The sequence below is a fragment of the Homo sapiens genome, chromosome 19, assembly GCF_000001405.40.
Source record: "Homo sapiens chromosome 19, GRCh38.p14 Primary Assembly".
In the NCBI taxonomy this organism is placed as follows: Eukaryota; Metazoa; Chordata; class Mammalia; order Primates; family Hominidae; genus Homo; species Homo sapiens.
This window is the reverse complement of record NC_000019.10, coordinates 23,340,382-23,363,350: the sequence shown is the minus strand read 5'-3', so window position 1 is coordinate 23,363,350 and position 22,969 is coordinate 23,340,382. Positions and strand designations below refer to the sequence as shown.

The following is a 22,969-nucleotide window of genomic DNA, read 5'->3' as shown; positions in this document are numbered from 1 at the left end:
ACTTTCATTCCAAATTATGCCACGGTTTCTTTCAACACTTATGTCATGAGAGAGGGAAATCAGTGTCAGGAAAAGCCCCTAAAAGCTGTAAATAAAAATGAATGGGCTACTATTTTACCTTTCTTTTAAAACATAAACCAGGAGTTGGCAATTTACTTCTAAAGGCACTCTGTTATAATGGGAAGCAGGAAAAGCTGTGTCAAGTAAATTTAACAGACTTTTCTTTTTTTTCTGTGTGGTTTTTTGCATTGTGCTCCCCTGAGACACTGCACACACTTAACTCATTCATAAATTTTCCATAGATGTAATTTGATCTGTATGTTTTTGTTACATATATATGTCTATGAAAGAATTAGGGCCTGTGCAGGGTAATGGCGTGAACCCAGGAGGCAGGGCTTGCTGTGAGCCAAGATTGCACCACTGCACTCCAGCCTGGGTGACAGAGCGAGACTCCGTCTCAAAAACAAACAAACAAAAAAACAAAAATAGAATTAGGGCCTGTGGTATTTTGCAGTGCCATATTGTTTATGTAGTTTGTATAATTTTGTAGGTAAGATTTTTAAACTATATTCATGTGAGTCTAGGTGAGTGGAGTAATTTATTATTTTTAGTTTTTTTTTTTCAGGTATATGTCCTCATTTTCCTCAAGACTTTTGGCCAGAGCAGAGCATGGAAGATTCTTTTCAAAAAGTATTACTGAGAAAATATGAAAAATGTGGACATGAGAATTTACAGTTAAGAAAAGGTTGTAAAAGTGTGGATGAGTGTAAGGTGCACAAAGAAGGTTATAATAAACTTAACCAGTGTCTCACAACTGCCCAGAGCAAAGTATTTCAATGTGGGAAATATTTGAAAGTCTTCTATAAATTTTTAAATTCAAACAGACATACGATAAGACATACTGGAAAGAAATGCTTCAAATGTAAAAAATGTGTCAAGTCATTTTGCATCCGTTTACACAAAACCCAACATAAATGCGTTTATATTACAGAGAAGTCCTGTAAATGTAAAGAATGTGAAAAAACCTTTCATTGGTCCTCAACCCTTACTAATCATAAGGAAATTCATACTGAAGATAAACCCTACAAATGTGAAGAATGTGGCAAAGCTTTTAAGCAGCTCTCAACCCTTACTACACATAAAATAATCTGTGCTAAAGAGAAAATCTACAAGTGTGAAGAATGTGGCAAAGCATTTCTATGGTCCTCAACCCTAACTAGACATAAGAGGATACACACTGGAGAGAAACCCTACAAATGTGAAGAATGTGGCAAAGCTTTTAGCCATTCTTCAACCCTTGCTAAACATAAGAGAATTCATACTGGAGAGAAACCCTACAAATGTGAAGAATGTGGCAAAGCTTTTAGCCGTTCTTCAACCCTTGCTAAACATAAGAGAATTCATACTGGAGAGAAACCCTACAAATGTAAAGAATGTGGCAAAGCTTTTAGCAATTCCTCAACCCTTGCTAATCATAAGATAACTCATACTGAAGAGAAACCCTACAAATGTAAAGAATGTGACAAAGCTTTTAAGCGACTCTCAACCCTTACTAAACATAAAATAATACATGCTGGAGAGAAACTCTACAAATGTGAAGAATGTGGCAAAGCTTTTAATCGATCTTCAAATCTTACTATACATAAGTTTATTCATACTGGAGAGAAACCTTACAAGTGTGAAGAATGTGGCAAAGCATTTAACTGGTCCTCAAGCCTTACTAAACATAAAAGATTTCATACTAGAGAGAAACCCTTCAAATGTAAAGAATGTGGCAAAGCATTTATATGGTCTTCAACCCTAACTAGACATAAGAGGATACACACTGGAGAGAAGCCCTACAAATGTGAAGAATGTGGCAAAGCTTTTAGGCAATCCTCAACCCTTACTAAACATAAGATAATTCATACTGGAGAGAAACCCTACAAATTTGAAGAATGTGGCAAAGCTTTTAGACAATCCTTAACCCTTAATAAACATAAGATAATTCATAGTAGAGAGAAACCCTACAAATGTAAAGAATGTGGCAAAGCTTTTAAGCAATTCTCAACCCTTACTACACATAAAATAATTCATGCTGGAAAGAAACTCTACAAATGTGAAGAATGTGGCAAAGCTTTTAATCATTCCTCAAGTCTTTCTACACATAAGATAATTCATACTGGAGAGAAGTCTTACAAGTGTGAAGAATGTGGCAAAGCATTTCTATGGTCCTCAACCCTAAGAAGACATAAGAGGATACACACTGGAGAGAAACCCTACAAATGTGAAGAATGTGGCAAAGCTTTTAGCCATTCTTCAGCCCTTGCTAAACATAAGAGAATTCATACTGGAGAGAAACCCTACAAATGTAAAGAATGTGGCAAAGCTTTTAGCAATTCCTCAACCCTTGCTAATCATAAGATAACTCATACTGAAGAGAAACCCTACAAATGTAAAGAATGTGACAAAACTTTTAAGCGACTCTCAACCCTTACTAAACATAAAATAATACATGCTGGAGAGAAACTCTACAAATGTGAAGAATGTGGCAAAGCTTTTAATCGATCTTCAAATCTTACTATACATAAGTTTATTCATACTGGAGAGAAACCTTACAAGTGTGAAGAATGTGGCAAAGCATTTAACTGGTCCTCAAGCCTTACTAAACATAAAAGAATTCATACTAGAGAGAAACCCTTCAAATGTAAAGAATGTGGCAAAGCATTTATATGGTCTTCAACCCTAACTAGACATAAGAGGATACACACTGGAGAGAAGCCCTACAAATGTGAAGAATGTGGCAAAGCTTTTAGCCGTTCCTCAACCCTTACTAAGCATAAGACAATTCATACTGGAGAGAAACCCTACAAATGTAAAGAATGTGGCAAAGCTTTTAAGCACTCCTCAGCCCTTGCTAAACATAAAATAATACATGCTGGAGAGAAACTCTACAAATGTGAGGAATGTGGCAAAGCTTTTAATCAATCTTCAAATCTTACGACACATAAGATAATTCATACTAAAGAGAAACCTTCCAAGAGTGAAGAATGTGACAAAGCATTTATCTGGTCCTCAACCCTTACTGAACATAAGAGAATTCATACCAGAGAGAAAACCTACAAATGTGAAGAATGTGGCAAAGCATTTAGCCAGCCTTCACACCTTACTACACATAAGAGGATGCACACTGGAGAGAAACCCTACAAATGTGAAGAATGTGGCAAAGCTTTTAGCCAATCCTCAACCCTTACTACACATAAGATAATTCATACTGGAGAGAAACCCTACAAATGTGAAGAATGTGGCAAAGCTTTTAGGAAATCTTCAACTCTTACTGAACATAAGATAATTCATACTGGAGAGAAACCCTACAAATGTGAAGAATGTGGCAAAGCATTTAGCCAATCCTCAACCCTAACTAGACATACGAGGATGCACACTGGAGAGAAACCATACAAATGTGAAGAATGTGGCAAAGCTTTTAATCGATCCTCAAAGCTTACTACACATAAGATAATTCATACTGGAGAGAAACCTTACAAGTGTGAAGAATGTGGCAAAGCATTTATATCATCCTCAACCCTAAATGGACATAAGAGAATTCATACTAGAGAGAAACCCTACAAATGTGAAGAATGTGGCAAAGCATTTAGCCAATCTTCAACCCTAACTAGACATAAGAGGTTGCACACCGGAGAGAAACCCTACAAATGTGGAGAATGTGGCAAAGCCTTTAAAGAGTCCTCAGCTCTTACTAAACATAAGATAATTCACACTGGAGAGAAACCCTACAAATGTGAAAAATGTGGCAAAGCCTTTAACCAGTCTTCAATCCTTACTAACCATAAGAAAATTCATACTATCACACCTGTAATCCCACTACTTTGGGAGGCCGAGGCGGGCGGATCACGAGGTCAGGAGATGGAGACCATCCTGGCTAACACAGTGAAACCCCTTCTCTACTAAAAAATACAAAAAATTAGCCGGGCGTGGTGGCGGGCGCCTGTAGTCCCAGCTATGCGAGAGGCTGAGGCAGGAGAATGGCGTGAACCCGGGAGGCGGAGCTTGCAGTGAGCCGAGATCACGCCACTGCACTCAAGCCTGGGCGACAGAGCGAGACTCCGTCTCAAAAAAAAAAAAAAGAAAATTCATACTAGAGAGAAACCCTACAAATATAAAGAATGTGGCAAATCTTTTAACCGGTCTTCAACCTTTACTAAACATAAGGTAATTCATACTGGAGTAAAACTCTACAAATGTGAAGAATGTGGCAAATCCTTTTTCTGGTCCTCAGCCCTAACCAGACATAAGAAAATTCATACTGGACAGCAACCCTACAAACAGGAAAAATTTGGCAAAGCCTTTAACCAGTTTTCACACCTTACTACAGATAAGATAACTCATATTGGAGAGAAATCTTACAAGTGTGAATAATGTGGTAAAGTCTATAAAAAGTCCTGAATTCTTAACAGACATAATATTATTCATACTGGAGAGAAACTCTACAAACCTGAAAGATGTGCCAACGCTTTTGACAAGTCAAACTTTTCTAAACATCAAGAAAATCATGCTGCTGAGAAATCCTAGAAATGTGAAGAATGTGACAAAGCCTCTAAATGATTGTCACACTTGATCGTAGGTAAGATAATTCATACTGGAGAAAACTACCAGTGTGAACAATGTGGCCAAGCTTTGAACTAATGCTCACACCTTAATGCATAGGAAAGCATTTATGCTTGAGAAAAAGTGAACAAATATAGACAAAAAGCCATTAATACCTGCTCACATCGTACTCAAATTCAGAGCGTTCATACTAAATAAGAAGTGTAATTACTGTCAAACGACTGATCAGAAAATATGTCTTTAAAGTACAGAAGAGTATTTTGAAAAAGCATTACAAATATGAAGAGGCATTATTTATGACCTTTTCTATGGAAAGGTAAGGACATTAAAAATGTAAGATGCATGATGAAAATTTAAGTAGAGAGGATCTTTATGGTTAACTTATAATATCGAGTGATGCATGAGGTAGATGTTCAGATTAATATTCTGCATTATTATGAAAGAAAAACATTCTTAATTTTAGTTAAAGTTTAGTATGATTTATTGTATTTTTATGAAATATATGTAGCATATTTTTAAATTATAAATTGCATGTGAACTTTTCAACCAAACAGTTTTAACATGTTAAATACTATCATGAATTCAATGAAGTGTTATTATGCCAGTAACTTTAACCTATTCCACCTTACTCAAGGGTGTAGGTAAAAGATGGTAAAAATACACTATTTGGTAAGATAATGGACTGACATCTCTAGTGATTTTTTTTGCCAGTGAGTTTTAATTGCCATTAAGTTAAAGAATATTGTTCCCATAGGCTAAATTTTTATTTTTATTTTCTCATTTAAATGTATTTGACTTAATTTTTGTGGATACCTAATATGTGTACATATTATGCCATATGTGGCATATTTTGATACGGACACACAATATATAACAATCGCATTAGACTAAATGCGGTCTCCATTACCTCTAGCATTTATTCTTTGTATTACAAATAATTCAATTCTACAGTTTTAGTTATTTTTAAATGTACAATTAAATTGTTGTTGACTACAGGATTATTTTTATGGTCATAATAAAACTTATATACAAACATAAGTAAAATCCATATATTTCTGAGTCCCGAATAAATCTTTTTTAATTTTTTCATATATTTTTCTTCGAACATGTGGCCTCTGCCTGCAAGCACATATGGACTGTTAGTATTGATTTACATAGAGTTAAATATACACATCTGTTAGTCTAAGATGAATCTTAGGTGTAAATAAATTATGGAGTGTGTTTAAGTTCGAAACTATTTTTAGCAGAAAAAAGCAATATTGGAACAAAATCATTTTAAGGAGGTGTCTAATTTACTACAAAACAAAAATTCTCAAAAATGCTGAAAGCAAATTTATACTCTGCTTTGTATTGAATTTCTTGCTGTACAATCTTTTGGCTTATGGTTCAGAGTCTCCCCATGCAAATTCTGTTTTAACTTGACTGGTACTCATGCTAGACCCATAATTTTTTGTTGTTGTTGTTTAATAGGTTTTTTGTTTGCTTAATTGTTTGTTGTTGTTGTTGTTTGTTTGTTTTTGAGACAGAGTCTTAATCTTTCTCCCGGGCTGGAGTGCAATGGTGCAATCTGGGCTCACTGCAACCTCCGCCTTTCAGGTTCAAGCAGTTCTCCTGCCTCAGCCTCCTGAGTAGCTGAGATTACAGGCATGCATCACCACGCCCGGCTCATTTTTGTATTTTTAGTAGAGACGGGGTTTCACCGTTTTGGTCAGGCTGGTCTCAAATTCCTGACCTCGTGATCCACCCGTCTCTGCCTCCCAAAGTGCTGGATTACAGGCGTGAGCCGCCTCGCCTGGACTAATTTTTGTATTTTTAGTAGAGACAGGGTTTCACCATGTTGGTCAAACTGGTCTCCAACTCTTGACCTCAGGTGATCCACTCACCTCGGCCTCCCAAAGTGCTGGGATTACAGGCATGAGGTACCAGGCCCGGCTGGCCTGTGTAATAGTTTATGAAGAATTCATTATGTGAGCCTGTCTGTAATTATAAAAATACTTTTTTAAAATTTTATTGTTCCATAAGTTACTTATGTACAGGTGGTATTTGGTTAGTTGAGTAAGTTCTTTAGTGGTGATTTGTGAGATCCTGGTGCATCCATCACCCAAGCAGTATACACTGCACCATATATGCTGTATTTTATCCCTTCCCCTTTCACTCTTCCCCGCAAGTACCCAAAGTCCATTGTATTATTCTTATGTCTTTGCATCCTCATAGCATACCTCCCACATATCAGTGAGAACATACGATATTTGGTTTACCATTCTTAGAATAATAGTCTCCAATCTCATCCAGGACATTGCAAATGCTGTTAATTCATTCCTTTTTGTTACTGAGTAGTATTCCAACATATATATATGTATGTGTGTGTGCATGTGTGTGTATATATACATTTTAAGTGTTTATATATTTATATATATATACACACACATATATATATTTCACAGATTCTTTACCCACGCGTTAATTCCTGGGCATTTCAGTTGGTTCCACGATTTTACAATTGTGAATTGTGCTGCTAGAAACATGCATCTGCAAGTACGTTTTTCAAATAATCATTTCTTTTTCTCTGGGTAGATACTCAGTAGTGGGATTGCTGGATCAAATGCTAGTTCTACTTTTAGTTCTTTACAGACTCTCCACACTGTTTTCCATATGCATTTATATGTTTTCCATGGTGGCTCTATCAGTTTACATTCTCACCAGCAGTATAGATGTGTTCCCTGATTGCCACATCCATGCCAACATCTAGTTGTTTGATCTTTTGATTATGGCTATTCTTGCAGGAATAAGGTGGTATCGCATTGTGGGTTTGATTTGCATTTCTTTGATCATTAGTGATGGTAACCATTTTTTATATGTTTGTTGGCCATTTGTATATCTTCTTTTGAGAATTTTCTATTCATGTCCTTAGCCCACTTTTTGATGCGATTGTTTTTTTCCTTACTGATTTGCTTGAGTTTGTTGTAGATTCTGGATATTAATCTTTTGTCGGAGGTATAGATTGAGTTTGTTGTAGATTCTGGATACTAATCCATTGTCAGATGTATAGATTGTGAAGATTTTCTCCCACTGTGTGAGTTGTCTGTTTACTCTGCTGACTGTTCCTTTTGCCATGCAAAAACTCTTTAGTTTAACTAGGTCCCAGCTATTTATCTTTGTTTTTATTGCATTTGCTTTTGGGTTTTTGGTCATGAAATTTTTGCCTAGCCAATGCCTAGAAGGGTTTTTTTCCAATTTTATCTTCCAGAATTTTTATAGTTTCTGATCTTAGGTTTAAGTCCTTAATCCATCTTGAGTTGGTTTCTTTTATAAGGTGAGAGATGAGGATCCAGTTTCATTCTACATGTGGCTAGCCAATTATCCCAGAACCATTTGTTGAAAGGGTATACTTCCCCACTTTATGTTTTTGTTTGCTTTTTTGAAGATTGCTTGGCTGTAATTATTTGGGTTTATTTCTGGGTTCTCTGTTCCATTGGTCTATGTGCCTATTTTTATACCAGCACCATGCTGTTTTGGTGACCATGGCCTTACAGTATAGTTTGAAATCAGGTAGTATGGTGCCTCCAGATTTGTTCTTTTTGCTTAGTCTTGCTTTGGCTGTGCAGGCTCTTTTTTGGTTCTATATGAATTTTAGAATTGTTTTTTCTAACTCTGTGAAGAATGACGGTGGTTTTTTGATGGGGATTGTGTTGAATTTATAGATTGCTTTTGGCAGTATGGTCATTTTCACAAATTATTCTACCCATGCTTGTGCATGGGATGTGTTTCCATGTCTTTGTGTTGTCTATGATTTGTTTCAGCAGTGTTTTGTAGTTTTCCTTGTACAGGTCTTTCGACTCCTTCGTTAGGTATATTCATATAATTTTTTTCCCGCTATTGTAAAAGAGGTTGAGTTCTTGATTTAATTCTCCATTTGGTTGCTGTTGGTTATTAGAAGAGCTACTGAGTTGTGTACATTAATCTCGTATCCTGAAACTTTGCTGAATTGTTTTATCAGTTCTAGGAGCTTTCTGGAGGAGTCCTGAGGGTTTTCAAGGTAAATGATCACATCATCAGCAAGCGGACAGTATGACTTCCTGTTTACTGATTTGGATGCCCTTCATTTCTTTCTCTTGTCTGATTGCTCTGGCTAGGACTTCCAGGGCTATGTTGAAGAGGAGTAGTGAGAGTGGGCATCCTTGTCTTGTTCCCGTTCTCAAAGGAAATGCTTTCAACTTTTTTCTATTCAGTATTATGTTGGCTGTGGGCTTGTCATAGATAGCTTTTATTTATTACATTAAGCTGTGTCCCTTGTATGCCAACTTTGCTGAGAGGTTTAATCATAAAGGGATGCTAAATATTGTCAATTTTTTTTTCTGCATCTATTCAGATGATCATGTGATTTTTGTTTTCAATTCTATTTATGTGGTGTATCACATTTCTTGACTTGTGTGTGTTAAACCATCCCTGCATACCTGGTATGAAATCAGCTTGATCATGGTGGATTATCTTTTCGACATGTTGTTGGATATTCTTTTCGACATGTTTTTGGATATTGTTAGCTAGTATTTTGTTAAGGATATTAGCATCAATGTTTATCAAGGATATTGGTCTGTAGTTTTCTTCTTTGGTCGTGTCTTTTCCTGGTTTTGGTATTAGGGTGATGCTGACCTCATAGAATGAATTAGGGAGGGTTCCTCCTTTCTCTGTCTTGTGGAATAGTGTCAAAAGAATTGGTAGTAATTCTTTGAATATCTGGTAGAATTCTGCTGTGAATCCATCTGGTCCTGGACTTTTTTTGTTGGTAATTTTTAAATTACCATTTTAATCTCACTGCTTGTTTTTGGTCTGTTCAGGGTATCTAATGCCTCCTGATTTAAGCTAGGAGGGTTGTATCTTTCCAGGAATTTATTCATCTCTTCTAGGTTTTCTAGTTTATGTGTGTAAAGGTGTTCATAGTAGTCTTGAATGATTCTTTGTATTTCAGTGGTGTCAGTTATTATATCTCCTGTTTCATTTCTCAGTGAGGTTATTTGGATTTTCTCTCTTCTTGGTTAATCTTGCTAATGGTCTATCAGTTTTATTTATCTTTTCAAATAAGCACTTTTTGTTTCATTTACTTTTGTATTTTTTTGTTTGAATTTTATTTAGTTCTGCTCTGATCTTGGTTATTTCCTTTTTTTCTGTTGGGTTTCGGTTTGGTTTGTTCTTGTTTCTCTAGTTCCTTGAGTTGTGACCTTAGATTTTCCGTTTTTGCTTTCAGACCTTTTGATGTAGGCATTTAGGGCTGTGAAGTTTCCTCTTCATCACCTTAGCTGTATCCCAGAGGTTTTGATAGGTTGTGTCATTATTGTCACTCAGTTTGAAGAATTTTTTTATTTCTATATTGATTTTGTTTTTGCCCCAGTGCTCATTCAGGAGCAGATTATTTAATTTCCATGAATTTGCATGGTTTTGAACGTTCCTTTGGGAGTTGATTTCCAGTTTTATTCCACTGTGGTCTGAGAGAGTGCTTGATATAATTTCAATTTTCTTAAATTTATTGAGGCTTATTTTATGGCCTATCATATGATCTATCTTGGAGAAAGTTCCATGCACTGTTGAGTAGAATGTGTGTTCTGCGGTTGTTGGATGAAATGTTTTCTAATATCTGTTAAGTCCATTTGTTCCAGGGTATAGTTTAAATCCATTGTTTCTTTGTTGTCTTTCTGTCTTGATGACCTGTCTAGTGCTGTCAGTGGAGTATTGAAGTTTGCCACTATTACAGTGTTGCTGTCTATCTTGTTTCTTAGGTCTATTAGTAACTGTTTTATAAATTTGGGAGCTCCAGTGTTAGGTGCATATATGTTTAGGATTGTGATGTTTTTCTGTTGGACCAGGCCATTTACCATTACATAATGTCCCTTTTTGTCTCTTTTAATCACTGTTGCTTTAAAGTTGGTTTTGTCTGGTATAAGAATAGCTACCCCTGCTTGCTTTGGGTGTCCATTTGCATGAAATGCCTTTTTCCACCCCTTTAAGTTTATTTGGGTCCTTATGTATTAGCTGAGTCTCCTGAAGACAGCAGATAGTTGATTGGTGAGTTCTTATTCATTCTGCAGTTCTGTGTCCTTTAATTGGAGTATTTAGGCCATTTACATTCAATGTTAATATTGAAATGTGTGGTACCATTGCATTCATCATGCTCTTTGTTGCCTGCATAGTTTGGTGTTTTGTGTGGTTTCTTGAGACAGAGTCTTGCTCTGTCTCCAAGACTGGAGTGCAGTGGTGTGACTCCCAAGATTATATGTTCTTTGTCTACCACTACCAGGTTGGGTAGGGAAGAATCATTGGGTGCGGGAGGTGCTAGATGTGTCTGAGTTCAGACTCTTCTTGGGCAGGTCTTGCTGCGGCTGCTATGGGGGATGGGGGTGAGATTCCCAGGTCACTAAAGTTTTGTACCTAGGAAGATTATGGCTGTCTCTGCTGAGTCATACAGGATGTCAGGGAAGTGGGGGAAAGCCGGCAGTCATAAGCCTCACTCAGCTCCCATGCAAACCAAAGAGCGGGTCTCACTTTCACTTTGCCCCCACAACAGCCCCGAGTCTGTTTCCAGGTGGAGGGCAAGTTGGGCTTGAAAATTTCTTAAGGCTTCCTGCCTCCCAGCTGGGAAAGAACAGGGCTTTAGTTTTTCCCTGCCTGTGAAGTCTGCAAGCCAGGTTCTCGCCTTCCCCTGGGTTCTGGCCAGGAGGCTTCTTGCCTCATTCAAATTCTTGCAAAGTTGAGCTAGGGAAGTCCTTCTCCCTTCAGTGTTTTACACCCTGCTCCTCTGTCCTCCCTCCTGATGGATTCCTGTGGTATCCAGCAGGAATGGGCTGCTTCGGGATTCAGCGAGCTCCCAGGGCCTCCCTACTGCCTCCTCCACCCTGTATGGGGGTGTGTGTTCAGGAGAGGAGGGTCTCCCTTTCCCATTTCTGCAGTTGGGGCACTCACAGTATTTAGGGTGTCTCCCGGGTCCTGCAGGAGCGGTCTATTTCCTTCAGAGGGTCTATCCTAATGCCTTTGAAGATACATTCTCAAGATGAAGGTGGTGATTTGTTCAGATAATCTCACCTGAGAAAGAATTAGAGAAGAGAGAAAAAATGGTTGATTCTTAGATAAGTGTGTCCCAGGTCAAAACTGTTCACATTTTCTTCTACAATGTCATGTATTTAGAATTGCAATCATTTACATTTCTACTTCTGATGCTTTTGCCTAACAAGATTATTTTAACTACCTTTTCCCTTTTCTTCTCATGACAGTGAAAGGATCTCTTTAAAATAATTCTCCCCGATTTATCAGAGCCTTAACTCTCTCCATCCAGCCTTCTTACATATCACAAATAATACTCACTTGAATTTATACCCTGAAGTATTGAAAGCATTTTTCTTTTCTTTTCTTTCTTTTTTTTTTTTTTCTTTTTCTGTGGTTGAGTCTTGCTCTGTCTCCCCAGCTGGAGTGCAGTGGTGTGATCTTGGCTCACTGTAACCTCTTCCTCTAGGGTTCAAGCAATTCTCCTGCCTCAGCCTCCAAGTAGCTGGGATTACAGGCATGCGCCATCATGCCCAGCTAATTTTTGTGTTTTTGTAGAGATGAGGTTTCACCATGTTGGCCAGGCTGGTCTCAAACTCCTGACCTCAGGTGATCCGTCCACCTCGGCCTCCCAAAGGGCTGGGATTACAGGCATGAGCCACCGTGCCCGGCATGAAAGTATTTTCTTTGTTGACAGATCAGCTTGGGCAGGTGCGGATTGCAAGGCTCTTATATTGGTTCGAACCCTGAGAGCGTGCCAACAGACAAGATGAGGCAATGTGGAGCAACACACTGTTTTAATGAGCATCTCGGTGCAGGCGGGCTGAGGCCTGAAATGGCATCAGCCCCAAGTAAGGACAGGGCAGGGGTTTTATAGTCCTCTGTAAAAAGGAAGTGTCCCAGTCTGACGCAACTGTTACATGGTACCGGACAGCCTCCCTCTCAGTCTTCAGGTGGAATGTGTCTCCTGGCCATATCTCTTCCTGCTTCTGCTATCTTGCTGATGCACGCTACTTGGACAAGTGGCCTTGCACCTTGGAACTGGGCCTGAGGAGGGAGAAGTTATTCATTCCCTTAAGCGTTCAGACCCCAGGGAGAATCTTTCATTCCTGTCTATTTGGTTATAGAAAAAAGGGACAACTTTCTCAATAACTACTTCAGGCATGACATAGGGGTGGCATGGGCACCTTCGCAAAATAAAAACTTAATTTTTGGGGTATTCTTGAGAGACGGGTTGGTATCCATCGTGTCATTGTAGCAGGAGCATGGTCTGGATTGTCTGGCAGCTAACTTTAGTTTCAATAAGAGTTTTAATGGCTTTTATTATTAGTGGGATAACACAGGAGAGAAACAGGAGGAACCCAGTGATGAAGATTACTGGTCCTACCAGCATTTTAAATCCCCCTAAATTAGAGAACCACCCTCCTTAAAGATTTGTTGGGCCCCACCCCTTCCAGGTTTGGACTGGCACATGGGCTTCTCTTCTGATGTTTGAAGTGATTTCTAGTACTGCTTTTCTGTTATCGTCTATGTTAAGACAACAATTGGAGATATTAAACTGACCACAGACCCCACCTTTTTCTGCTAATAAGTAGTCTAGTGCTAGCCTGTTTTGATAAATTGCTGCACGCATTTGGTTTTCTTGTTGCGTGAGCATTTCCAAGGCTGAGGCGGTTTGGTTAGTGATTATCTCTAGAACCCCCTGTAGTCTAATTATTATATTTAGAGTATATATGGGAGTGCAATAACCCCATGAACTATCCTCAGTCCAAGTGGCAGGACTGTTAATATTCGATGATCCGTTGCGGAGGCCATTCATCCTGTTGCCATCTTTGGCTTCCTCCTGCCTTTATGGATCATGGTTGTTTTTGTTTGTTTGTTTGTTTTAAATTATTATTACATACAGGTACTCCGAGAGTGTTGCCCACGTTAATGTTTTGGAGGAAGGAGTAGCCTTGGGGGTGAGCTTGACCCTAGTGCGATGAATCCAGTTGAGGAGTCCTTGGACTCTCACTGCAGTTGGCATGCTGCGTATCACAGTGTAGGGGCCTGTCCACTTCAGTTGTAGGTTTTTGTGAGGCTCGGGTTGGCAGATAAACACATCTGTGCCTGCAAGACAGTTATGTTGAGAGGACAAGGAGGTGTTGACAGGAAGGGGCATGGCCTCATTTGCCGCTTCACGAATGAAAGACCATGTCTGGATTAAGGAGGGGAGGTAATTCCTGAATGGCTCAGAATCTGGGAAGGGTAGAGGCCCCAAGACAAAAGTTTGGCTATCGGGGGAACCAGCCCCCAATATTTCAATGTAGGTTATTTTCTGTTTTCCCTAAGTGTCGGCTGGTCTGAGAAATAAAGGGAAAGAGTATAAAGAGAGAAATTTTACAGCTGGGCCTCCAGGGATGCCATCACATATTGGTAGGACCATGATGGCGACCCCAAGCCACAAAACCAACAAGTTTTTATTAGGGATTTCAAAAGGGGAGGGGCGTACGAATTGGGAGTGAGTCACAGAGGTCACATGCTTCAAAGGGCAATAAAAGATCACAAGGCAAAAGGGTAGAGCAGGATCACAAGGCAAGGGCAAAATTAGAATTACCAATGAGTGTCCATGTCCCGCTAGGCACACATTGTCTTGATAAACATTTTAACAGGAAACAGGGTTCAAGAGCAGAGAACTGGTCTGACTAGAATTCACTAGGCTGGAATTTCCCAATCCTAGCAAGCCTGAAGACACTGCAGGAGACCAGGGTGTATTTCATCCCTTCTCTCAACCGCATAAGACAGACACTCCCAGAACAGTCATCTGTAGGCCTACCCCTGGGAATGCATTCCTTCCCCAGGGTTATTAATTATTAATATTCCTTGCTGGGAAAAGAATTCAGTGATATTTATCCTACTCACACGTCCATCCATAGGCTGTCTGTGAGAAGAAAAATATGGCTGTATTCTGCAGTCAGACTGCAGAATAGAGATAACCATAAGGCAGTCAGACCTTATGGTTATCTTTCCTTGTTCCCTGAAAATCGCTTATTCTGTTCTTTTTCAGGGTGCCCTGATTTCATATTGCTCAAACACCTACGTTTTACAATCAGATTTCATACTGTTCAAACACACATGTTTTACAAACAATTTGTACAGTTAACTCAATCATCACAGGGTCCTGAGGCAACATACATCCTCAGCTTACAAAGATGATGGGATTAAGAGATTAAAGTAAAGACAGGCATAGGAAATTATAAGAGTATTGATTGGGGAAGTGATAAATGTCCATGAAATCTTCACAATTTATGTTCAGAGATTGCAGTAAAGACAGGTGTAAGAAATTATAAAAGTATTAATTTTGGGAACTAATAAATGTCCATGAAATCTTCACAATTAATGTTCTTCTGCCACGGCTTCAGCTGGTCCCTCCGTTCAGGGTCCCTGACTTCCCGCAACATTCAGCCATACATGATTTCAAAGGGACTATAAAAAGAGTGTGCCTTTGGTGTTGCACAGAATCTCATGAGGGAAAAAGGGAGATTTTTTTGTCCACCACTGGAGGGTTACTAGAGCCAACTTGGTGAGTTTAACAAGAGAGGTAATTTTTTTCAACTTTGCCTGAAGATTGAGGCCTGTAGGGTGTGTGGAGAACCCATTTTATACCTAAGGATATAGAGATGCCTTGGGTAATTTGTCTGAGGAAGGCAGGCCCATTATTGGACTGGATGGATGTTGGCAGTCCAAAATTGGGAATTATATGCATGTTGAGAGTTTGTGTGATGACATTTGCACTTTCTGAAGTTGTTGGGAATGCTTCTGCTCACCCAGAGAAAGTACGGACAAAGACTAGAAGATAGCAGAGCCATTATTGGGTGGCATGTGAGTGAAGTCTACTTGAAAATCTTGCCTGGGTACCTGGCCCTGGGCTTAGTGGGTAGGAAAAGGCAGTGGCCAAAGGGAACTGTGGGGTGATACTGAGTGGCAGATAGAGCAGGACTGGGTAATCTCTCAAACACGGCTGGAAAGGTGAAGACAAGTGAGGATAGGGTGGAGAAGTTGCAGGAGAGGTTTGTAATTGACATGGAAAGAGTTGTGGAGGCTTTGGAGGATAGAGATTGTTTGAGAGTGAGGAAGAAGGAAGCACCCTTCCTTGACATACCATGGTCCTTGTTTTTGAAGGTTTTGGGCTTGGTAGTCCTCCTTTTCTTCTGGAGAGTAAAGAGGAGAGAACGAGGACAGGCACAGAAACTGGCCTTGTACAGGTTGTAGGGCTACTTGTTTGGCTTCTCTATCTGCTAGATTTCCCACCAAAATAGGATTGTCTGGGGTTTGATGGTCCCTGCAATGAATGACGGTAGCTTTCTGCAGGAGTCTGGCAGCTTGAAGGAGCTTGCTGATAGAGTCATTTATGACAGGAGTGTTTTTTTGCAGTTAGGAAACTCCATTCTTTCCAGATGGACGAGTGTGAATGCACTATGTGGAACGCATAATGAGAATTTAAATATATGTTGATCTGTTGACTGGCTGCTAGAGTGAGAGCTCGAATGAGGGTGATGAGTTCAGCTTTTTGGGAGGTGGTGCCTAGGAAGAGCATATTGGCTTGAACAGTGTGTAGGGGGGGTGACACTATAGCATAGCCAGCATGCCGGCATCCTTGATGTAGGAAGGAGCTGCCATCTACAAACCAAGTAAAGAGGCATCTGGAAGGGGTTGGTCTGTTAGGTTTGGAAAAGGTATAAGAAAGGTTTGAACAGTGTTGATACAGAAGTATGTAGGATCTTTGGCGTGGCCAAGTTTAGATGGGAGCTGGTTACCATGGTGATGTGCGGAGCTTCTATGAATAGAGCATACAGTTGGAGGAGCCGTGGGGGAGAGAGGAAACTGCGGTGAGCTAGCATGTCTTTCTTTGACGTTATGGATTGAATAAACTGTTAAGTTGGCATGGAGAGATAGTTTAGGCTTTCAAGGGCAAGGACAGCAGCTGCCGTCAATGTTCAGAGGCAGACAGGCCATCTGAGAACTGTGGCTTCAAGCAGTTTAGAGAGGTAGGCAAAAACCTGGAGGGTGGGTCCCTTATACTAGGTTAGAACACCTACTGCAACTCCACACCATTCATCGGTATAGAGGGAGAAAGGTTTAGTGGTTCCTTCTGGGATAGCTGGGTCTACGTTGGTATACTTTCTCATGGCGTCAGTTAAACAAGAGAGAAAAAGGGCTGGGTTTTTGTTATGACCTTGGGTGATTTCTGAAAGTTTTTCATAGTTTACCGCTTTATGGGCACCCTTTTTGAGTCCTGCAAGGAGACACACAATCATGTTGTCTCGATGGTGGCATCCAGGGACCACATCTTGATAATCTCAGTGGGGTCCTGGTTGGGAACTGCCTGTGCACCAGTAGGCTGGGCAGGAGCCTGGTGATGAATTGTATTGGCATGCACCTGAGCTGGGGTCTAGATACGGTCCTCGTCTTCTGGGGAGAGGGTGGCAGAGAGGATAATGTAGAGGTCATGCCAAGTTAGTTCATAACACTGGGTGAGGTACTGAAACTCTAATATAAGAGGTAGGGTCTTCTGGAAATGAACTGAGTCTTTTTGTTAATTTGAGAGATATCAGTGAGGGAGAAGGGAATGTGAACTCTAACAACATGTTCAGTTTCTGCCACTTCCTGAAGGGGGCACTGTAGCACAGCCGCTGAAGTAAGAGTGGGGCATGGGCTAAAGGTGGCGCCTGAGCAAGTGTGGATGGGAGAGAAGGAGGAACCTGGAAGTGGTTCCTGCTGAGGGTTTGAACAGGGGAGGGGGGTTGAGTTAACAGGCAGTGGAGGATAGATAGGAGTGTAAAGTGGCGGGATGGGTTTACAAGCCTCAGGAGAGGGCGGTGGGGGAGGTCAGTGGGTACAGGCAATACTAGAATTGTCCTGAGGAGGGGACGATATAGGAAAAGAAGTGGATACTGCTGACTGGGAAGATGGTGGCTGGGAATATTGCTGCTGAGAAGATGGTGACTGAGAAGATTGTGGCTGAGAAGATAAAGAAAAGGCTTGGGGGTGAAAGAAGATGGTTGAGAGGGAGAGGTAGGGGCTGGGAGGGTGGACAGCAGTCTGCTGGATCCAAAGAGGAAAAAGAGGTAGGGTCGGGAAGAGGAAGGCAATCTGGGTGGTGAGAACAGAGGAGGAGGATTTGAACACATGAGCAAGAATTGCAGAGGTTGGGTTGTGATCTGAGTGCAAAAAAGGCCTGGATATAAGTAATTTCTCCTCATTTTTCCAGTCATCAGCAATAATTGATTAAGTCAGTTAAAATTGTAAAGTCCAATGTTCCGTTTGTGGGCCATTTGGACCCATTATCCAATTCGTATTGTGGCCAGATTGAATTGTAAAACAAGACAAGGCACGGATATCTTGACTGAGGCCTGAGGTTTGTAGGTTTTTTTATGAGGCAGCCTAGAAGGATGTCCTTTGGAATGGAAAACTTGAGATTTCCCATAACCGAGGTTAGGCTAGAGAGAACAGGGAAAAGGGGACCATCCTGGGAAGCTGGAGGGAGATGATAAAAGGAGCGATTGTCACCACTGCCTTTTTTGTTCCTAGAACGGGATCAAATGGCTTAGAGGCATCCCCCTAAGACCAAAAGATCAGCAAGTGCCTGGCACATGCCAGAGCCTTCTTGGGCCAACATTGGATTTTTGGACTGGAGAGAGCAAGAGAGGCTGTGTGGATTTTTCCCTGTTAACTGGGCTCCCAGGATACTTACTGGTAGGTGAGATCAGTGACCGAGGGGCATGCACAGACAGGCGACTGGAGGCTGAGGAGCTTCTTTTGTCCAGCTGCTGTACCCAGATGGCCTCCCTCTGGATCTTCAGGGGGTATGTGTCTTCCTGCCAACTGTTCCTGCTTCCGCTCTCTTGCTGACGCACGCTGCTGGTGCAAGGGGCTTTGTGCCTTTGGACTAGGCCTGTGGAAGGAGGAGTTATTCATTCCCTTAAGTTTTCGGGAGAATCTTTCAGGGATATAAAACATTCTTATTGGGGTTGCTGCTGGGTCCTCAGATATCAGTGAGGGAGAAAAGTGCACCGTTTAGGTTCCATCTGAATGCTTCATCAGCTCTCTGAAGAACATAATTTTAAAATCCCCACTGAAAAAGGATGGAATTAATAGCCTGGAATAATTTAGAAAGATGTGTATGTAAAGGAATTAATTCAAAGAAATGTGTCTTCTAGAATGCTAAAGAGACAGTATTTAAATAGACTGCTAGAAATTACAAAACATGGGCATCATATGTGGCTTGAACTTTGCATAAAACATGTTTTTCATGATTAGATTCAGATTATAATTTATGTTTTTTGCCGGGCGCGGTGGCTCACCTCTGTAATCCCAGCAATTTGGGAGGCCGAGGCGGGCGGATCATGAGGTCAGGAGATCGAGACCATCCTGGCTAACACGGTGAAACCTCGTCTCTAATAAAAATATAAAAAATTAGCCAGGCATGGTGACGGGCGCCAGTAGTCCCAGCTACTCGGGAGGCTGAGGTAGAACAATGGCGTGAACCCGAGAGGTGGAGCTTGCAGTAAGCCAAGATCACGCCACTGCACTCCAGCCTGGGTGACAGAACGAGACTCCATCTCAAAACAAATAAATAAATAATAATAATTTATGATTTTTGGCCAGTAATCTCACAGAAGTCATGTTGCATCCTCATATATGCATCCGCACCTGATGCCAATCTGTCCATTTTATTCACTTGGTTAGCATGTTTCCTGAAGGAATTCTTCACTTTAAAATTACTTTCTAAAAACTGTATTATTAACAGGTATTTTCGAGAGACTTTCTGACTAATGTGCAGAAACAATCACATTTAATCTGAAAGCTCCCCTGTCATGCTAAGTGTCAGGTTCCAGCCCAAGCTGAGGTCTGATAGAAGTCAGTGGGCGAGTGGTGGGTTGCTGGAAAAACACTCGAGGAATTGTGGGCAGTTTTGATATGGCTTTATTATCTCTCTGGGCAGAAGCCTGGGCATGAGCCATGTGTGCAGGGTCAGCGGCTTTACTCTCTCTCTTCCCCTCCTGTCTACCTGTCTGTGTACTCCTTACACACGATAGTGGCTCAAAGCCAAGTATGAGCTTACAGAACTAGGTTACATAATGAGCAGAATTGTGCACCTGCACTCAAACTCACTGAGTCATGCTGAACCAGATGTTTACCTCAGCTTATTATTGACCACAGCACATCCATTTTTCTTACATCCCTTATCTTAATAGTTTCTCTTGTTTATATCTTGCTTTGGAAAATGAAGGCTGTCATCTTTGTTCACTGGTCATATACATGGGGACAAAACCCAGGTTCTATCACTAGATGTTTTACAAACTATTTTCCTTAAGTTAGAATCATTTATGTCATTGGTGAGTTTGTTAGCAATGCAGTAACTCAGGTCTCATCTCAGATCTCTTGAATTGGAATCCATATTTTAACAAAATCTGCAGCTCATTGATATATACGTTAAAATTGGAGAGGTACCTTCTAACTTACTGTGACTTCTCCATATGAGAACTGGACAGAACTTACTGTGTATAATGTAAATATGGCACTCAAAACTGTATATGCTTGTGTTTATGCCATAAATTTTATGCTGTATTATTCAGAAAACTACAGTACCTACAGTGGTTTTGTGGATCTTTTTTCATTTTCTTTCCTCAGAATGCAAAAATATATTACAGAATCTTTCTCTATTTAACAATATTTTATTGGATAATTCCAGTCTCTGTAACTCTCAAACACCTAGAGTAAAATTAACAATTCTGCCCATGGCCATTTGCTAAATATGTGTGGGTGTTTGGGTTTGTTTAGGAAATGTTAACATTCAAGGCTTTGGCCATAGAATTCTCTCAAGAGGAGTGGGAATGTCTGAATCCTGCTCAGTGAAATTTGTGTAGAGATGCAATGTTAGAGAACTATAGAAACCTGGTCTCTCGGTGAGAATAAATATACCCCAGATTTTCTAATATACCATCAGGCTTCTATTTTCTCCCTTTGTAGAATGATTTTGGGAGGTTTTGCTCTGCATAAATTATTTTTAGATCAGTACTTTTAAGAAAAACTTGAAGGTTTATTGGAATAGATAAGAAAATCTTCAAGATGTTTTATCTTAATAGGAACCTTCCCCTCTCTTGAGCTAATCTGTATCCTTCACTCTAGATTAATGATAATTCTAGAAATTCAGTGGCATTAAATACTGTTGCACAAATATTAAAATCCAATATCCAGCACTAATTTTATATTCAGTATTGGATAGTAGAGCTAAGGACCCAGAAATGTCACGTATGTTTTAAATATTCAAAAGTTTCTGTCAGAAAACAGTATTTTGGAATTAAATTTCTAGAATCTTTCATAATATTCTCTCCTCTCTACTGAACATAGTACTAGGTTGGTAACTGGAGGATCCCAGAAAGTCATGCTAATTTTTCTAACAAAACAGGCCTTGCTGTCTCTAACTCTGATCTGATATCCTGCTTTGAGCAAATAAAAGAGCCCTGGAATGTGAAGAGACATGAGACAGTAGTCAGCTTCTCAGGTAGGTAAGCATGAATGAAGCAGATAACAGAGACGAGGGATACGAAGGTCAGAAAGAATTTCAGACCTTAAAATGTGGTATAGAATGCTCTGCTTCCATGGAAAGGTTTCCTAAAAAGCCATTTATTTCTCTAGCTCCCAAATAGGAGCATCTTTTGTCCCATACCCTTAAATTCTTTAAGGATCCTACTTCCTATTTAGTGATTTTCCTTAGAGGGTACCGTGAGAGCTAAAGTCCTCTTTATGGCTTATAAGGTGCTGCATGATATGCCTGCTCTTCCATTGTTTTGGGGGAGTATAAGAATATTTCTGAGTATTTTAGAGGAACTGCATGTTAGATCATTTAACGTTTCTTTTCCCATCATGTCTGAAATGTGTAAGAGGAGTGGTGATATTAAGATTTGTTTCAGAAATCACAGGAACATGAATGACAGATGTTACTTCTCTATTTTTTTTTAATATTAGCAATCCTAACAGATTTCGAGTGATAGCTCATCATTGTTTTCATTTGCAGTTGCCTTTTGGTAGGTGATATTGAGCACTTTTTTATATATCTATTGGTCATTTGTATATATTTGTTGGCAAAATATTTTTTTCACTCTTTCAACCATTTTTTAGTTGGATTATTATTGTTATTATTATACTTGCTTTTGCTTTGAATTTTCTATATATTTTGAATATTAAGCTTTTCTGATATATACAGTTTGCTGTTGTGAGCATGCTGCAATAAATGTGCAAGTATACGTATCATTTTCATATAATAAACTATTTTTCTTTGGGTAGATACCCAATGATGAGATTTCTGAATCAAATGATAGTTCTGGCCAGGCGTGGTAGCTCACGCCTGTAATCCCAACACTTTGGGAGGTAGAGGCGGGCAGGTCATGAGGTCAGAAGTTTGAGACCAGCCTGAGCGATATGGTGAAACCCCGTCTCTACTAAAAATACAAAAGTTAGCCAGGCGTGGTGGCACTTGCCTGCAGCCCCAACTCCTCAGGAGGCTGACACAGAAGAATTGCTTGAACCTGGGAGTCAGTGGTTGCAGTGAGCTGAGATCGTACCACTGCACTCCAGCCTGGACAACTAAGACTCCGTCTCAAAAAAAAAAAAAAAAATGGCAGTTTTATTTTTAGTTGAGATTGAGCATTTTTTTCATATGCGTGTTGGCTATTTGTATGTCTTTATTGAAAAATGATTAGTAATGTTATTTGCTCAATTGTCAATAGAATTCTTTATTATTACTATTATTATATTTTTGAGTTGTTTGAGTTATTTGTAAGTACTGAATATTAGTTCCATGTTGGCACGTAGTTTGCAAATATTTTCTTTTATTCTGTAGCTTGCATATTTACCCTGCTGATTTTTTTTTCTGTGCCAAAACTTTTAGTTTGATTTCCATTTGTCTATTTTTTATAATAATAATATAATAAATAATAATTTAATAATAGTTTTCTTTGTTGTGTCCTTGGCTAGTTTTGGTATCAGGGTGATACTGACCTCTGAGTGACTTAGGAAGAGTTTTATTATCCTCAATTTTTGGTAAGAGTTTCAGGAGGATTATTATTGTTTGTACACTTGGTAGAATTTTGCTGTGCATTTAGTCCTGAGCTTTTCTTTGTCAAGACATTTTTTTTTATTGCTGACTCAATCATGCTACTCAGTATTGGTTTGTTCAGGTACTCTATTTCTTCCCGACTCTATCTTGGGAGGTTGTTTGTTTCCATGGATTTATTCATTCTTTCTAGGTTTTCAGGTTTGTGAGTGTCTAGTTGTTTATAATCGTTTCTAG

At 39.7% G+C, this 22,969-nt stretch overlaps 1 protein-coding gene across 9 annotated transcripts in view; it reads left to right on the top strand.

Moving 5' to 3' along the window:
- The window catches only part of ZNF91 (zinc finger protein 91), a 90,468-nt gene that overhangs the window by 32,121 nt on the left and 35,378 nt on the right, over positions 1–22,969 (top strand). For 5 of the 9 annotated variants that reach the window (XR_007066982.1, XR_001753754.3, XR_007066980.1 and 2 more), the window contains one exon: positions 626–4,921. Coding sequence is in view for 3 of the 9 variants with exons in the window: in NM_001300951.2 (NP_001287880.1) it covers positions 626–3,948 (3,323 nt within the window). In the remaining 6 variants the exon portion in view is untranslated. Of the gene's footprint in view, positions 1–625; positions 5,656–18,204; positions 22,628–22,969 lie in introns of those variants that run through there. The other 4 variants (NM_001300951.2, NM_003430.4, XR_007066979.1 and 1 more) reach the window with 3 other exon arrangements.